At 48.8% G+C, this 13986-nt stretch overlaps 1 protein-coding gene and 1 long non-coding RNA gene across 8 annotated transcripts in view; one reads left to right on the top strand and one right to left on the bottom strand.

The window, feature by feature from the left end:
• Positions 1 to 13986, bottom strand: part of IQSEC3 (IQ motif and Sec7 domain ArfGEF 3) — a 111689-nt gene that overhangs the window by 59008 nt on the left and 38695 nt on the right. The window lies entirely within an intron of this gene.
• On the top strand, positions 7687 to 12924 carry IQSEC3-AS2 (IQSEC3 antisense RNA 2). Its single transcript, NR_184284.1, has 2 exons — positions 7687 to 7829; positions 12571 to 12924. It is a non-coding gene; the product is annotated as an IQSEC3 antisense RNA 2 (long non-coding RNA).

Here is a 13986-nt window from a genome sequence, read left to right as displayed (position 1 = left end):
TGCTAAGGGCTCAGGGCTCTCTTCCTAGAAAAACGCACATGATTTCACACATGCCAAATTTTACCTTCATGTCAGGGGCTTTACAGACTCCATAGGCCCCAGGCTAAGCACACTATTATGGAGAGAAAATCATGGAGTATTTTCCATATGCTGAGAAGAGTGCCAAGGGATATAGGCAGCTCTCTGGTCACACAGATAAAATATTTCAGGGCTTTTCAGAGCCTGGTCATCTTCATCCTTGGCACTGACGGAATCCTCACGCAAACGGAAGAGAGCCTGAGTGGAGTGAGGCCCCAGGCTCTGCAACTACCTGCTAGGAGGTCTTGAGAACCACACCCAACTTTTCTGGACCACGGTTTTCTCATCAGCAAAATGGGGATGCAAATACCTCCTTTCCAGGATAGTGATGAAGATGAAATGAACCCATAGGTTAGCATATCCACCACGGTGGGAAGTACAACTTTCCACCCAGGAATAGGTGAGAAGGGAGAACACCTGCAGTGGCCCCCAGCATTTGTGCTCACACAGCTCCTGCCAGGGAGCTGACTCGGGGTAGTGAGCCTCTCTGGGCTCCCAGGCAGGCCCTGGCAGCCACATTGCCCACTGCCAGGAGCTAAGGGGACAGGAGCAACTGAAGGGCTATGTGAGAGCCAGGAGAGGAGGGGGAGGAGGAAGGTGCTGACCGAGGCCCGGCACTCTCCTACCAGAGGGGCTGGAATGAGGAGCTACCTGCAGGCTCAGCCCCTGAGGGAGTCTGCTGTTGATAGTGGGGTGGCTTGCCAGAGCAGGAGCTTGAGGGCTGTTCTCCTATCTCGGCAATGGCTAGCACAGTAATTACTAGAGACTCTACCAGGAGCATTTTGAAGGCTGATGGACTCCTTGGGTATGAAGACTCCTCCAGAGGGCCTGGCCAATTGCACTAGATTATCCCAGACTCTGCCAGCCATTCTTAAAGCTCTTCTGGGACAAAGCTATGAAGCATTTTCTAGACAAAAGCTAACAACATGCGTCACGTCCCCTCAAGATTTTTAGCCCTTTCTAAAACACTTCTTTTCCCTCCTTTCTTTGAATCAATATGGTGATCTCAGACGGGCAGAATAAAGGCACCGAGCACAGAAAGCCAGGTGTCTTTTGAGGTCCCAGATGGCATGAGGGGGGTGGAGGTGAACAGAAGGCCAGTGTTAGTGACAAGACAAGAAATCAACTCACTTCATGCTGATTCGAAGCCCGAGCTGGAAGGTCCTGCCCAAGGTGGTGGAGAGGGCACTGGGCCAGGAGTCAGGAGGCAATCCCACCGCAGCCTGCAGAGTGTGCGGCATAACTGTGGGCAAATCACTTCCCCTCTCTGGGCTCTGTATCCTCATTGTAAGAGGGCAGCTTGGACAAGACACTTTGGCATCAGGCAGGAAGGAGAGGCCCAGCTCCCTCCCTCCCCACTTGCCATTTGCTTGGGCCCTGGCCACACCCGCTGTGTCGCTGCTCCATCCCTGCTCCTGCTAACCTGAAGCCATCAGATGAACTTCAGCTCCCAGTGACACAGCATAAGCCTCCCCTGCCATGGCCCCTTGATTGCCACCATCCAGGCCAGAAGCCCCTGCAGGAGGGCAGATGTGGCTGTCCCGGCTCTCTTCCACTTCCAGAGGCTGCCCTGACCTCGCTGGCTGTAAGAGATGCTTCTCCTGTCTGGCTCCCAAGGAGAGAAGAAGTTCTTCCTCTCCTTGTTGCCTCCAGGCTTTGGTCTCACAGCTGCTCCTAAAGGTGTGGGTGGGGGCTGGCTTGTCTCTAGAGTGTTCCTGTCAAAGGGTCGCAGCCACTTCTCTGGGCTCAGCCCTCCCCTCACCTAGGCCAGAATACCCCGGCCACTCCCTCAAGGTGGGCCACAGGGTGGCTCCTGCAGACTGTCCCCATGGGCGAATGTGGAGCCCTCCCCTGCTCAGCCCATCCCACAGGAAGGCCTCCTCTGGAAGCTTCCTCAGGCCTCCTCAGGCACCGCCTCCCTCATAGCCTCCCAGGCTGGGCCATACTGGCGAGTGCCATCTTACTGCCCCCGGAATCCTACTGTCTTTGAGCATTTTACATTGTCATAAACAGGCATGGCTCTGGTGGCAATTTCAAGCTCGAAGAACATCCTCCCTGCCCGCTTCCCAACACATGACACACAGTTTCACACAGGCACGTCTCTCTCTGGCCCAGGCAGACACAGCTCACTGTACACCTTGGTTTTCTCACCTTTCACGTCTGCTCTTGTGATTACCCCAGGAGAAGAGAGCTCCCATCTCTCAACATTCTCACCCAGCCTCAGGATAAGGCTGCAGAACCACGGCCTCTTCATCCTGCCCTGGCCACAACCCAAAGTCATCTCCCTGTGGCTTCAGTACAGCCTAGTGAACTCCAGATATTACTTATTTTTTCTTTTATTATGAGGTATTTTATATATGCAAATATAGGTAACACAGAGATGAAACATACAGAAAAATATCCACATGTACTCAGCTCAAGAAAGAGCACGTTTGAAGCCTCTGATGCCCTGTGTATTCCTCTCCCCTCCTCAGAAGAATCCCTGTCCTGAATTTGTGTCGGTCCTTCCCTAGCTCTTCCCTATGGGCAAACGCCCCCCTTGTCTTTACATAATCAACACTGCTGCCTCACATGAGTGCCAGAATTGCACAGCCATCCTCGTGGGAGCCTCAGGAGCCTCGTGGGAGCCTCGTGGGAGCCTCAGGAGCAGTCAGGGTCTTGCAGATCCCAAAGGGTCAGGGAAGTGCCTCCAAGGGGATTGGCCCCACAGCTCCATGCTGGCAAGACTGGAAAGATGGCAGGAGTCTGACTGCAGCTGGGCTGGGCCTCACAGTCTTGGACCCCAATATTACAGCAAGGAAGACTTTTAGAAAACAAAATGGAGTTACTCCTTAAGCCCTCTACACCCCAGCCCTTTGTGGCCTGAGTAAGCAATAGGTTCCAAAGGGACCACGGGTGACCATCAGGAACCACAAAAGAATAGCTCACGGAAATGCCGGGGATGCTGGGAGAGGGTACTCCACAGGAGAGGCAGCTGGGGACCAGGTCTCCGGGGCGAGTGCCTTTGGGGTCCCTGAGAGGAGGGAGCACATGAGGCTGCAGCCAGGGTCAGCCTACTTGTAATTAGGGGTAGAGTCGCAGCCTCTAACTGTAGTGCAGACTTGGAGCCCGACCACTAGGGTTTGAACGCTCGCTGTACCAGCTACCTGCGTTGTGGCCTTGGGCAAGTCGCTTAAACTCCTGTGCCTCAAGGTCCTGTGAAAGGAGGTGTCCCAAGAACGAAGGGCTAATACACGTACAATGGTTGGCAAGCCCTAGTAAGTAGCAACTATCTTCTCTTTTGGGACGTCCCATGTTTTATTTTGTCAAATAAGAAAATAAAAAGCAAAAGTATCATTCACTTTTCCTGTAATATTATTAAAAAAATGAAAAGTAGGAAGAATATAATTTCAGAACAAAGGACAACCCTTTAGCTTGCTGTATCAGTTTCTTATCGCTCTTGGTGTCTTGTGCTAGAGTTCTCTAAATCGAGATGTGCTGGCCTCTTCTGTGTGGTGTAATCGGTGACTCTGAGTTACAGATGATGCCAGAGGAGCTTACCAGAGGGTAACAAGGGCTGGAAGGCAGCAGAGTGGTATAACTATGAGATTTAGAACCAGAGAGACTGACTGTGGTTAAAATCCCGCCACTCACTAGCTGTGTGGCACTGGGCTAGTTCCTTAACCTCTCTGAGCCCATTTGCTTGTGTGTAAAGTAGGGATACCTGCTACATGATTTTGCTGTGAGAGTGAGTGAAATAATCTACACGAAGCCTATGGCATCTACTTGATGCTTGGTAACTGTGGCTATTCTCCCCTAATCTGGGCCCTTTATGCATCCCCAGCTTCCGGTTCATGAGCTAATTGCTCCCTGGAGAGCAGGGACCTTGTCTCATTCTTTCTAGCTCCCTCGCGGAGCCCTGTTATGGTGACCCACACAAATCATGTGTGCATAAAGCCCATACCAGAGGCAGGCATGAGGCCATGCCTGGGTGTTTCATATTCTCTTGGCTCTAAAGCCCCTTCATTCCATCTTCCTTCTGTTCCAACCCAGGTCAGCCCTACTTCACCCCAGCAGAGCACATGTTTCTTGGGTCCTGAGCTATTTCCAGGGAAGAACAGCTCCTCACAGGCCCAAGTTTACCACATGCCAGAGGAAATCTGATGACCTACAGGTGCCTGTGGAGGTCAGGTGCATTCTTGCTGAAAACAGGAGTCTTGTGACCCAAGAAATGGAAATGGCAGAATTACCAGTAGGGTAGGACATTGCTCTGGACATTTAGCTAGTTACCAGGGAGCAAGATTCCCCACTTGTTTCCCTGCAGTTAACGTCCTTATCTTCAGTGGTCCTACTGGAAGTCCTACCTGATATCTAGCTCCAGGCTTTCATGCTGCACATATCAGATTGGCCACACTGTTTCCCGCATGCCTTGTGGCTTCCATGTGTTATCTCTGCAAGTGTTAAGAGGAAGGGACGTGCTAGGCTCCTGCTGTATGTGTGACAATGGAATATCTGCTCACTGTCTCTGCAGGACACACTTTGGAAGAAGCCTTAGAGATCCTGGCATGGGGAATACCCCATGGGGCAGGCCAGGGGACAGTGCCAGGCCATAAGCCTTTCCCTGTTGGGATAAACAATCTTCTCTCAGGAGAACAGGCAGTCAAACTGTTGGCTGATAAAATAAATGCTTCCGATCTTAATCCCATCCCAGTCTTCACTGTGGCAGCCTGTTGCTGAGTTAAATCATTTCCTCTCCTGCCCTGATGTCTAGAAAATCTCCTCTCTGAGCCTGTTGGCCCTACTTGATTGACATTCATCCGGGTCTTTAGCTTCTTTGATCTCTTCCCCAAATTTGTCCTTCAGTTCTCAGAGTCTCTCTCTTTCTCTCTTTTTGAATATTCGGCTCTATCCTGCCACCACTCCATGTCAGGAGCTGGGCCTGAACAGAAACATCTGAAAGACTGCCTCTTCTCCACGCCCAACACCTGCTATCCCATGGGACGGACTAGACCTTGCCAGAGCCCCTGGTATGGCAAGCATGTTGTTCAGGTCCCTGAGGTGTGTCTGAACAACATGCTTGGAACCTGAAGAACATGCTTGCCATAGCAGAGGCTCATCACATGAAGCATGTGGCCTGTACTTTCTAAACATTCCCTAGTCATATCTGAATTTCTAGACCTTAAATCTTGTTTGAGTTCTCCCTCTCTGCCCTCGAAAATCCAGCTTTAACATAGCTAGCACGTATGCAGTCCTTACTAGATGCTGGACACCTTTCCAGGCATTATCACATTTAATCCTGCCAAACACCCTAAGAAGTTAAGTGCTATGCTCCTTTTACAGATGAGTTAACTCAAGGTTGGAAAGCTTATGGAATTTAACCAAGGTCATAGAGTTTGTGAGTGGCCAAGCCAGGACCTGAACCTAGATTTGAATTATCTGGTTTATGCTTTCAAGTGCCACACATTACAGTGATTCCCTGAAGTTCTGAATTTATCTTCTAGTCCAGGGAACTCCTTTGCCACTTCCTCGCCTCTCTCTTTCTCTTTCCAAGCTAGAAAGGAATCCACAAAACCATGTGGTGCTCATTCCTCTGCACCTGGGGAGGGAAGGGACCTTCGCTATTTTTAAGTTCTTCAGTGATCAGTAAACATGAGTATCCTGTTCATCAGGACAGTTTCTCATTACAAATTCGTAAATTCATACTAATATGATATGTCAGTCTCTTATGAGTTTGTTTCTGATGAGTCAGTTCCCTCGATTCCTGAGGAATCTGAGGACTCATGGCAGCCTAATTGATTCTCCAAGACTTCAAAGCTTCAGTATAAACATGGAACATGGTGACCACACCAAGATCCCACCAGGCCGTGTGGCAGTGGCACCTGGGGAGTGAGCAAGGTGACACATTCAAACAGGAACAAGGAAGAAGCAGGTTTAAAGCCTCTGCTCCACTGTTGCCCTCTCTTTGCATAGGCTCTGGTCTTAACCTCTGCCTGCTTCTACCTTTGTGACCTTCAACAAGTTGCTTATCTTCTCCGAGTATTTCCTCAGCTGTAAAATGGACACAGTGATTCTTGCCCTTCTGACTGTTTACAAGGTCAGAGGCTGAGGATCCTTGTGGTGAGAATCAAGTAAGCAGAAGGACAGAAGGAGTTCTGTAACTCGGAAAATGCAGTATCGATGCTGGTTGTTAAAACCCTCATCATTCCTATCATTTCTGTCCTTGGAGTGCAAGAAACTGCATCCAAGCCCAGGATAAACGCTAAGAGCTGCCAGCATGGAGGGAAGGAAGTGGGGGCCAGGCTGTTCCCCGTGGCATTCCGGGGGCACTTCCCAGTGTCCAGGCCGCACTGCCCAAGACGAATGGAGAAGAGGGACAATGAGAGGCGATCCTCTGCAGGACTATGAGTGGGGTGAAATTCTTCTCCTTTTTGAAACTGCCTTGTTTCAAAATAATAATAATAAATATTAATAATAAAATATTATGATAATATTTTTACAATAATAAGTGAAATGTAGGAAAAAAAACAGTGCACAGGCCTACAGAGGGCTTCCCTTGCCATGCTCTTTTGCTCCAATACTGCATTTCACCAGAGGGTCAACATTCGCACCCCACCACCTGCCATTTGTTTTGCTTTGCAATTGCCCTGGGTCTCTCCATGAGCAGGTCCCATCCCTGGCCATGCAGAATGCCTTCTTACAGAATCCCTGGTAGAGGGCCTTGGGGATTAGACAGTGCAACCCCTCATGCTATGGTTGAGGAAGCTGGGGCCCAGAGAAGAGGGGGATGCCTTGTGCCTTGTCTAGGTCAGTGTGGTGGAAGCACCAGCTTCTTCTGGAAGCCCAGGTGCTGCCTGGGTCTGCCCTTCCCCTCGGCTCCCTTCCAAATCCCAAGCTTCTAGGTCACACGACACTTTCTCTTACTCCCCTGGCTCTTTGAAGGAAATAATGTATACAGTGGGCCATTTCCAGGATGAAGTGCCTGAATTGGCTTAGGTCAGCAAACTACAGAAGAAACAGGATACACTAGGCCCCTGCTTGGATAGCTGATGCCTGCTTCTCGGCCTCCCCCACTTCCCCACCATCCCCCTTCCCCCCACTTCCCCACTCCTTAGTTGCCCTCCCCGAACCAAAGAAGTTTAGTCTAAGATGAAAGTTTACTAGCCTACAAAATAGTTCATTTTGTTTGTTCTTATCAGCCTGCCCAGCTACTTCGGTCATAAATCAAATACTTTATGAGCCCCTGAGCTAGCTAGGATTGCAATGCATTGTGGGCTGCAACAAAATGGAGCAAAACAACCCTAAAAAACCACCTACAGCCCCTGCCCAGCAATGAACAGGCATCATCCGGGAAGATTGTAACCCATAATACTCAGCCTATGAGGAACCAGGGGAGAGACCTGTGCACTAGGGGATAAACTGCTTGTTGAAACTGTGCTGGGTGTGCCTGCTCAAGAGACACCCGATTTTGCAAGACCGTCATCACAAGTCTCACTTTCGCTGTTCTCTGGGTCTCTGAGTCCATTCTTTGGGTTTGGACGGGTGAGTCTGTTTCTCACAACCTGGTGGCCCATATGGGGATTTCCATGCCTGCATGGAGTGAGACTCCAGCTGACAGGGGAGATGTGTCCCACTCGATTTGTGTGGCCCACTCTGTCCAGGTGTCTCAGCTCCCCGAAGAAGCCATAGACAAACCTGAAACTGTTATTCAGGAGACAACTAAAGTGACACAGGGAGAAAAGCAGGCAACCAGGCAACCTCACGCATGAGCCAAGGTAGGAAAATTGATCTGTAAGTACTGCTTGGTAGTTGTGCATTTTCGGAGGTCTTGGGGTGTGTAAGAAACCTCCAGTAAGGGAGGCTGAGTACACAGGGAAAAGCTCAGACACAGAGACTAACCAAAAATGGGAAACAAGAATTCTAGGCCTAGAGAACAGAGGAAAGAGGGAACTAAAGAGAACCCTTCTGACATTCCCCCAAATAGTCCGCTGGGGAGAATGCTGCAGGTTTGAAGGGATAGTCCTCAAACCAGGGACAAGGAAAAGCAAAAGATGATAAAGTTTGTTGTTTTATCTGGCCCAAAAAGCCCATTCGTCAACCTTTGGTCTTTTGGCCTGAGTTTGGCTCAGATGAGGATTGGGTGTGCCAAGCTTTAATTTTCTGTGAATAATAAAACTCCATCCTCACGAGAGGAGACAGGTTATGCTCTTTGTTGGATTAGTGAATTAACCCCCATGTTCCCCTTTAAAAAGAAGAAAAAGAGCATAGTAAAAAGCCCTCACCCAATGAAAAGCCCTGGGATCCCCTAACACGCTTGCCCCCCCATACATCTCAGGAAGAACAGAACAGGGCGATCGGGGGGCAGCAAGAAGGTCGGAGGAAGAGGAATCGGGGGGTCACGAAGAAGCTAAACCCAATGCTTCCTTAAATCCTTATCCAAACTAGAGGAAAGAATTAGAACAATGTAAGAAGGACATTGAGAATTTCCCCGTTCCTTCTAAACAGCAGATGTCTAACAGGTACCCTCTTAGAGAAGTCTCTACGGGACAGAGAGGAGTTGGGTTTGTTGGGTTTGTGAGTGTGCCTCTAGCAAGTACTGAGGTTCAGAATTCTAAAAAGAAAATGAGGCCACTCTGGGAAGACCCCCTCGGTTTAGCAGAGCAGCTAGATCAATTTTTATGACCCCATTTTTATACTTGGGCTAAGATAATGTCAATCATAAATATTCTGTTTCCTGGGGAAGAGAGGGGAATGATTATAAGGGCAGCCATGACCATTTGGGAGAGACCCCATTCTCCCGGGTAAGGAGTCCTGCCAGCTGAGCAGAAATTCCCAAATGCAAATCCCAGAGGGGATAACAATAACCTCAGAGATCAGGCCCCAGTGCAGGACCCAAGGGAACTAATAATTAAAGGGATTAAAAAGTCCACTCTTAGAACACAAAATGTCTTGAAAGCATTCGAGATCCAACAATAAAAAGAGAAGACTCCCTCCGCATTTCTGCAGAGGCTCAGGGATCAAATAAGAAAATATTCAGGATTAGGTCCAGAGCACCCAGTAGGGCAAGGCCTTTTAGGACTTAGTTCTGTGACAAAAGCTGGCCTGATATTACTAAGAAACTGCAAAAGATTGATAGGTGGAATGAAAAACCGATTAAGGAATTACTGAGGGAAGCTCAGAAGGTTTTTGTAAGAAGAAAGAAAAGAGAAACTGGAAAAGGGAGAAAGAGAAAAAGTAAAAAAGAAAATTGGAAAGACAAAGGGGAGGAAATGGCAAACATAGAGGGCCAGAGAGAGAAAGAGTTAAGCTGCTGACCCTGAAGGCAAGGGAGAGGCGGCCACACAACTGTGTGTGGAAGCTGGCTGCTGAAAGCTGTTGATAAAAGTTGTTGCTGAATCTTTGTTGTTTCGACAGAGCTGTCCATCTTTGCAGATTGTCAGGGGCCAGGGCCCAGCACAGTTTAGCTTGTGCCCAGAGAGAGAAAGAGAAAGAAACTAAGTGTGAGGGAAAAAGGAAACAGGATGATAGAGATAGATAGAAAAAGAAAACGAGCGAGAGCAAGAGACTGGAAAAGACAGATCAAAGAGAGACACCAAAGTTAAGACTGGGGAGAAAAATAATGCAAAAGGAAGAAAGAGTACAAGAGGAAGTGAGAGGATGTGGAGAGGTTGGCAGGGCTGGGGGAAGGTTCTAGAGGCTCAAGCAACAAGGAGGTGCTGGGAAAGGGTGCAGTGCGGCCACTGAGGAGGGACAGGGTCCGGGAACTGGGGGATGCAAGTGAGAAGGGGATGTGGAGGAGAGTTTAGGATCAGGCTGCCTGAGGAATAGTGGGTTGCGTACGGCAAAGACTAGATGGCTGTTTGTCAGGAGGGTGTAGAAAGGGTTCAGGATGTGGAAGGGTGAGTGGATGAGATGAGCATTAAGGTTTGCTGCTGTTTCACTGAGAGGCTGTGAGTCCACCAGGGGCAGCCGTCAGTAAGGCTGCAGAGAGGCCGGGGGGCTACATAAGGAAGATCCGAACTAGGGTTATAAACTCAAAGGACAACACGGCCAGCAAATGGTGAGAAGGAGGGCTGCAGGGCTGGATGGGGACTGTGGCTAACTGAAGAGGGCACACCTCTGCAGCTGCTCGACTGTTCTCACAGTGCCAGCCCTGTGTTGCCAGACTGTCTGCTTTGTCAGAGGCCAGAATTCTGACTTTTTATGTGAAACAGGATTTTTAAATGCTGGTGATCAGTTAAAAAAACTTAATAACCCAATACAGGTGATAGAAAATGCCAGTTTGCAATCCCTGAAGTAGAGAGAGCGCGTGCTGGGGAGAAGTCCGCCAGGATGCTTTGAGGTGGGGTGTATAAAAGTTCTGTTTCCCAGAGCTGGGCTGGGCCAAGGGGCGACCCTTGCAGCTGACGAAAAGCCACCAAGTCCCCTCCCAGAGCGGGACAAACCTGGGACCCTTTGCAGTTGCTGGGTCACCAGCAGGGGTGGCGTGGAATACAAACAGTGCAGCTCTCGGCCTGCCAGGGAGACGGATGGTGCCTTCAAAGCAAAGAAGGAGCCAGGGATGCCTTTGCTGATGAGAGTGCCCATCAGGGAAGGCACCACAGGCTGGCAGCTCTTCAAACCAGCAGCTGTTGGCCCAGAGCCAGACCCGGCAGAGCCCGGCTAAAGACACCCTGAAAGGCCAGCTGGTCAGCCCCTTGCCTCCTCAAGTTCCTCCTGGGGTCAGTGGGCCCTGGAAAGGCGCCTAAATGAACTCCAGTCAGTTTCTTACGGAAATGAGAGGAGAATAAGCAGGTATCAGACCATAACTGTTTACATATGATAGAATATCAAACCAAAGTTAGACCAGACCTTAAAGAAATTCCACTACTCGATGGAATGAGGCTGTTTGTGAATAGGCCATCCTGAGTGATAGATGGTAAAAGACACAATGTCCAGGCTGTCATTGATGGAAACAAACAAACCTTATGAGAAAAAGGTAGATTACCCAATAACTGCTCAGCCCAAACCTGTGAATTACATGCTCTTAACCAAGCCCTGAAGCTCATATAAGGCCAAGAAGGCACTGTATATGCTATTTCCAGATATGCCTATGGAGTAGTACACACCTTTGGAAAGATCTGGACAAAGTGGAGCCTAATAAATAGCAGGTAGAAAGAATTGGTATATGGGAAACTGGTCAAACAAGTTTTAAAAAGCCTCCTGCTTCCAGCAGAGGTAGCCATAGTTCATGTAAACGGCCATCAGAAAGGAAACTCTATAGAAGCTAGGGTTAGGGTTAGGGTTAGGGTTAGGGTTAGGGAACAGGCTTGTGGATAAAGCTGCTAAGCAGCCTCCCTGGAGGTAGAAGTTAAACTATTTGGCCTAATCCCAGATATCCCTAAGGTGGTATTAAAACCCCAACTTTCTGAAGAGGAGGAGGAAGAGCTGGGCAAGATAGGGCCACTCAAACTGAGGATGGGAGGTGGGTGCTCCCTGATGGGACCGAAATGATAAGCAAACTCACAAGGAGAGAACTGATATCCATACTCTGTAAGGGAGGTCACTGGGGTCCCCAGGCCATGTGTGATGCAATACTCAAGAATTACGGGTGTATAGGGATCTACACCCTTGTTAAACAAGTGTGTGGGTGTTATGTGACCTGCCAGAGAATAAACAAAAAGGTAGTTAGAAAACAGACTACCGGCCGGGCGCGGTGGCTCACGCCTGTAATCCCAGCACTTTGGGAGGCCGAGGTGGGCGGATCACGAGGTCAGGAGATCGAGACCATCCTGGCTAACACAGTGAAACCCCGTCTCTACTAAAAATACAAAAAAATTAGCCGGGCACGGTGGCGGGCACCTGTAGTCCCAGCTACTCGGGAGGCTGAGGCAGGAGAATGGCGTGAACCCGGGAGGCGGAGCTTGCAGTGAGCCGAGATTGTGCCACTGCACCCCAGCCTGAGCCACAGAGCAAGACTCCGTCTCAAAAAAAAAAAAAAAAAAAAAAAAAGAAAACAGACTACCGGAGGGAAACCTCCTGGGTTAAGGCCATTTCAAAGCATTCAAGTAGATTTTACAGAAATGTCCAAAATAGGGAGACTAACGTATCTGCTGGTAATGGTAGACCACCTCTCCAGGGTGGAGGCCTTCCCCTCCCAGCTGCCACTGCCGGGGATGTGGTCAAAATAATCTTAGAACAAATTATACCCAGATTTGGCCTGGTAGAAAATACTGATTCAGACAATGGGAGCCACTTTAACTTGAGGGTGCTAAAGGAATTATGGAAAGTGTCCCTGCTGGAGACAGCAACACACTCCAGTCTTTCTTCATAGGCAGCTGTCCTTCCTGTTTTGTTTTTTTAATCATAATAAAAGAAATCTCTAAAAACCTCGTTTCTTAAGCCATTCCATGGTCTCTTGAGGGCAGTAAAATGTCTTAAGAATGCCATATCTGATCAAATCACTCTTGCTATAGATTATTTCTTCGTTTTTGGTTTGATGAAACAAATTAAAAACCCTTTTTGTCATACAAACAGATACAAAATCATTTTTATGGTCATGTTATTGGTCAGAAGATAAGTGAATGGGTAAAGAACTTTCAGAAGAGAAAATAAAACAAAGCACAAGAAATAGTGGGATTAGAAAAATCTCTACGCCTACAAAGGTTACTCTTCCTGGAAGTGAGAAAAGAAGATACAAAAGATTCCAACAAGAAGCTTCCAGTAAATGAAACAAGAACATATTTCCCAGAAAACTGGATAAAACTGCATTACCGAATACCCTGGACTAGAGAAAGCTTAGATGTTCCTCGTGGCATCTCTCACTTGTTCTGGAAGTATTATCTTTAGTTAGGGGTATTTCCTTAACTAATAAAGCCTAGCATTGCTGTTGTTGCTGTTTCTGTCCCTAAAAATATTCTCTGCGTCACTCCTCTGGAGTCCACACATGGCCTCAAGGGGCAGGGCGGAGGGGCAGGGAAGAGAGGCCAGGCCTTTTGAGGCCCTGAACAATAACCTATGTGCTCTCAGCCACCCGCTGGCTGTGGCTGGGGACATGGGAAGCAGCTGTTCACCTTCCTGCCTCACTTTCGCTTCCCATACTTGACAACACCTGCCTTCTGCTATCCTCCTGCCCTGGTGGTTACAGGCTGCAACTGACAAGCACCTGGTTCAAAACCTAGCTCTGCTCTTCATCAGCCACATGGACCATGCTCAAGGCATTCGTTGTCTCTGATCCTCAGTTTCCTTGTCTGTAAAATGGGAATAATATTTCACCAGCTTCTATTAGGGGTTAAACAAGATAATTCTTGCATAGCACATAGCAAGCACTCAGGACATGGTGGCTAGTATTTGCTTCCTCTCTCTCATGGGTGGGAGACACAAAACCGACACAGAGTTAGCAGGACTTCTCCTCCAATCATCTCTAAACATGCTGCTGACAAAAAGTTGCGTGCCTTAACGAGCAGCAATTTGAGGGCAGCCCAAGCACCAACAGGTTTCCCAAGCACCCTCTGGCGACAGCCTAGGTCACATGAAGGGGCCAGTCTCAGAGGATGCTCAAGGCCTGGCAGGGAAAATTACACAAGGAAATTGGCCTGGGCAAATAGCTGACTCCAAACAGGAGTTTCACATCCCTGCTGAGGAGAGCCCTCTGGACAGAAAGTCAAAACTCAATGACAAGACAAAACCTTCCTAATACTCTCTGGGATATTTTAATACGCCCTCCCAAAGTGTCAAAGTACTTTGACCTCTATTTTGGTTTTTATGCCTCCTGAATCTGGCGATTCAGGACAAATGAGACAAAAATGCACAGGGTGGTAAAGTGACAGGTCACACAGTTCCCTAGGGCAGATTCCTGTAGCTCCACGTCGGAATTCGGCCATCTTCCTGGGCATGGAGCCCAGGTCGGCTGGATTCTGCTCTAACTACACAGCTCCTCAGATCACCCAGGAG

The sequence above is a fragment of the Homo sapiens genome, chromosome 12, assembly GCF_000001405.40.
Source record: "Homo sapiens chromosome 12, GRCh38.p14 Primary Assembly".
Taxonomy (NCBI): Eukaryota; Metazoa; Chordata; class Mammalia; order Primates; family Hominidae; genus Homo; species Homo sapiens.
The sequence above is the reverse complement of the archived record's forward strand: the minus strand, read 5'-3'. Positions and strand labels throughout refer to the sequence as shown.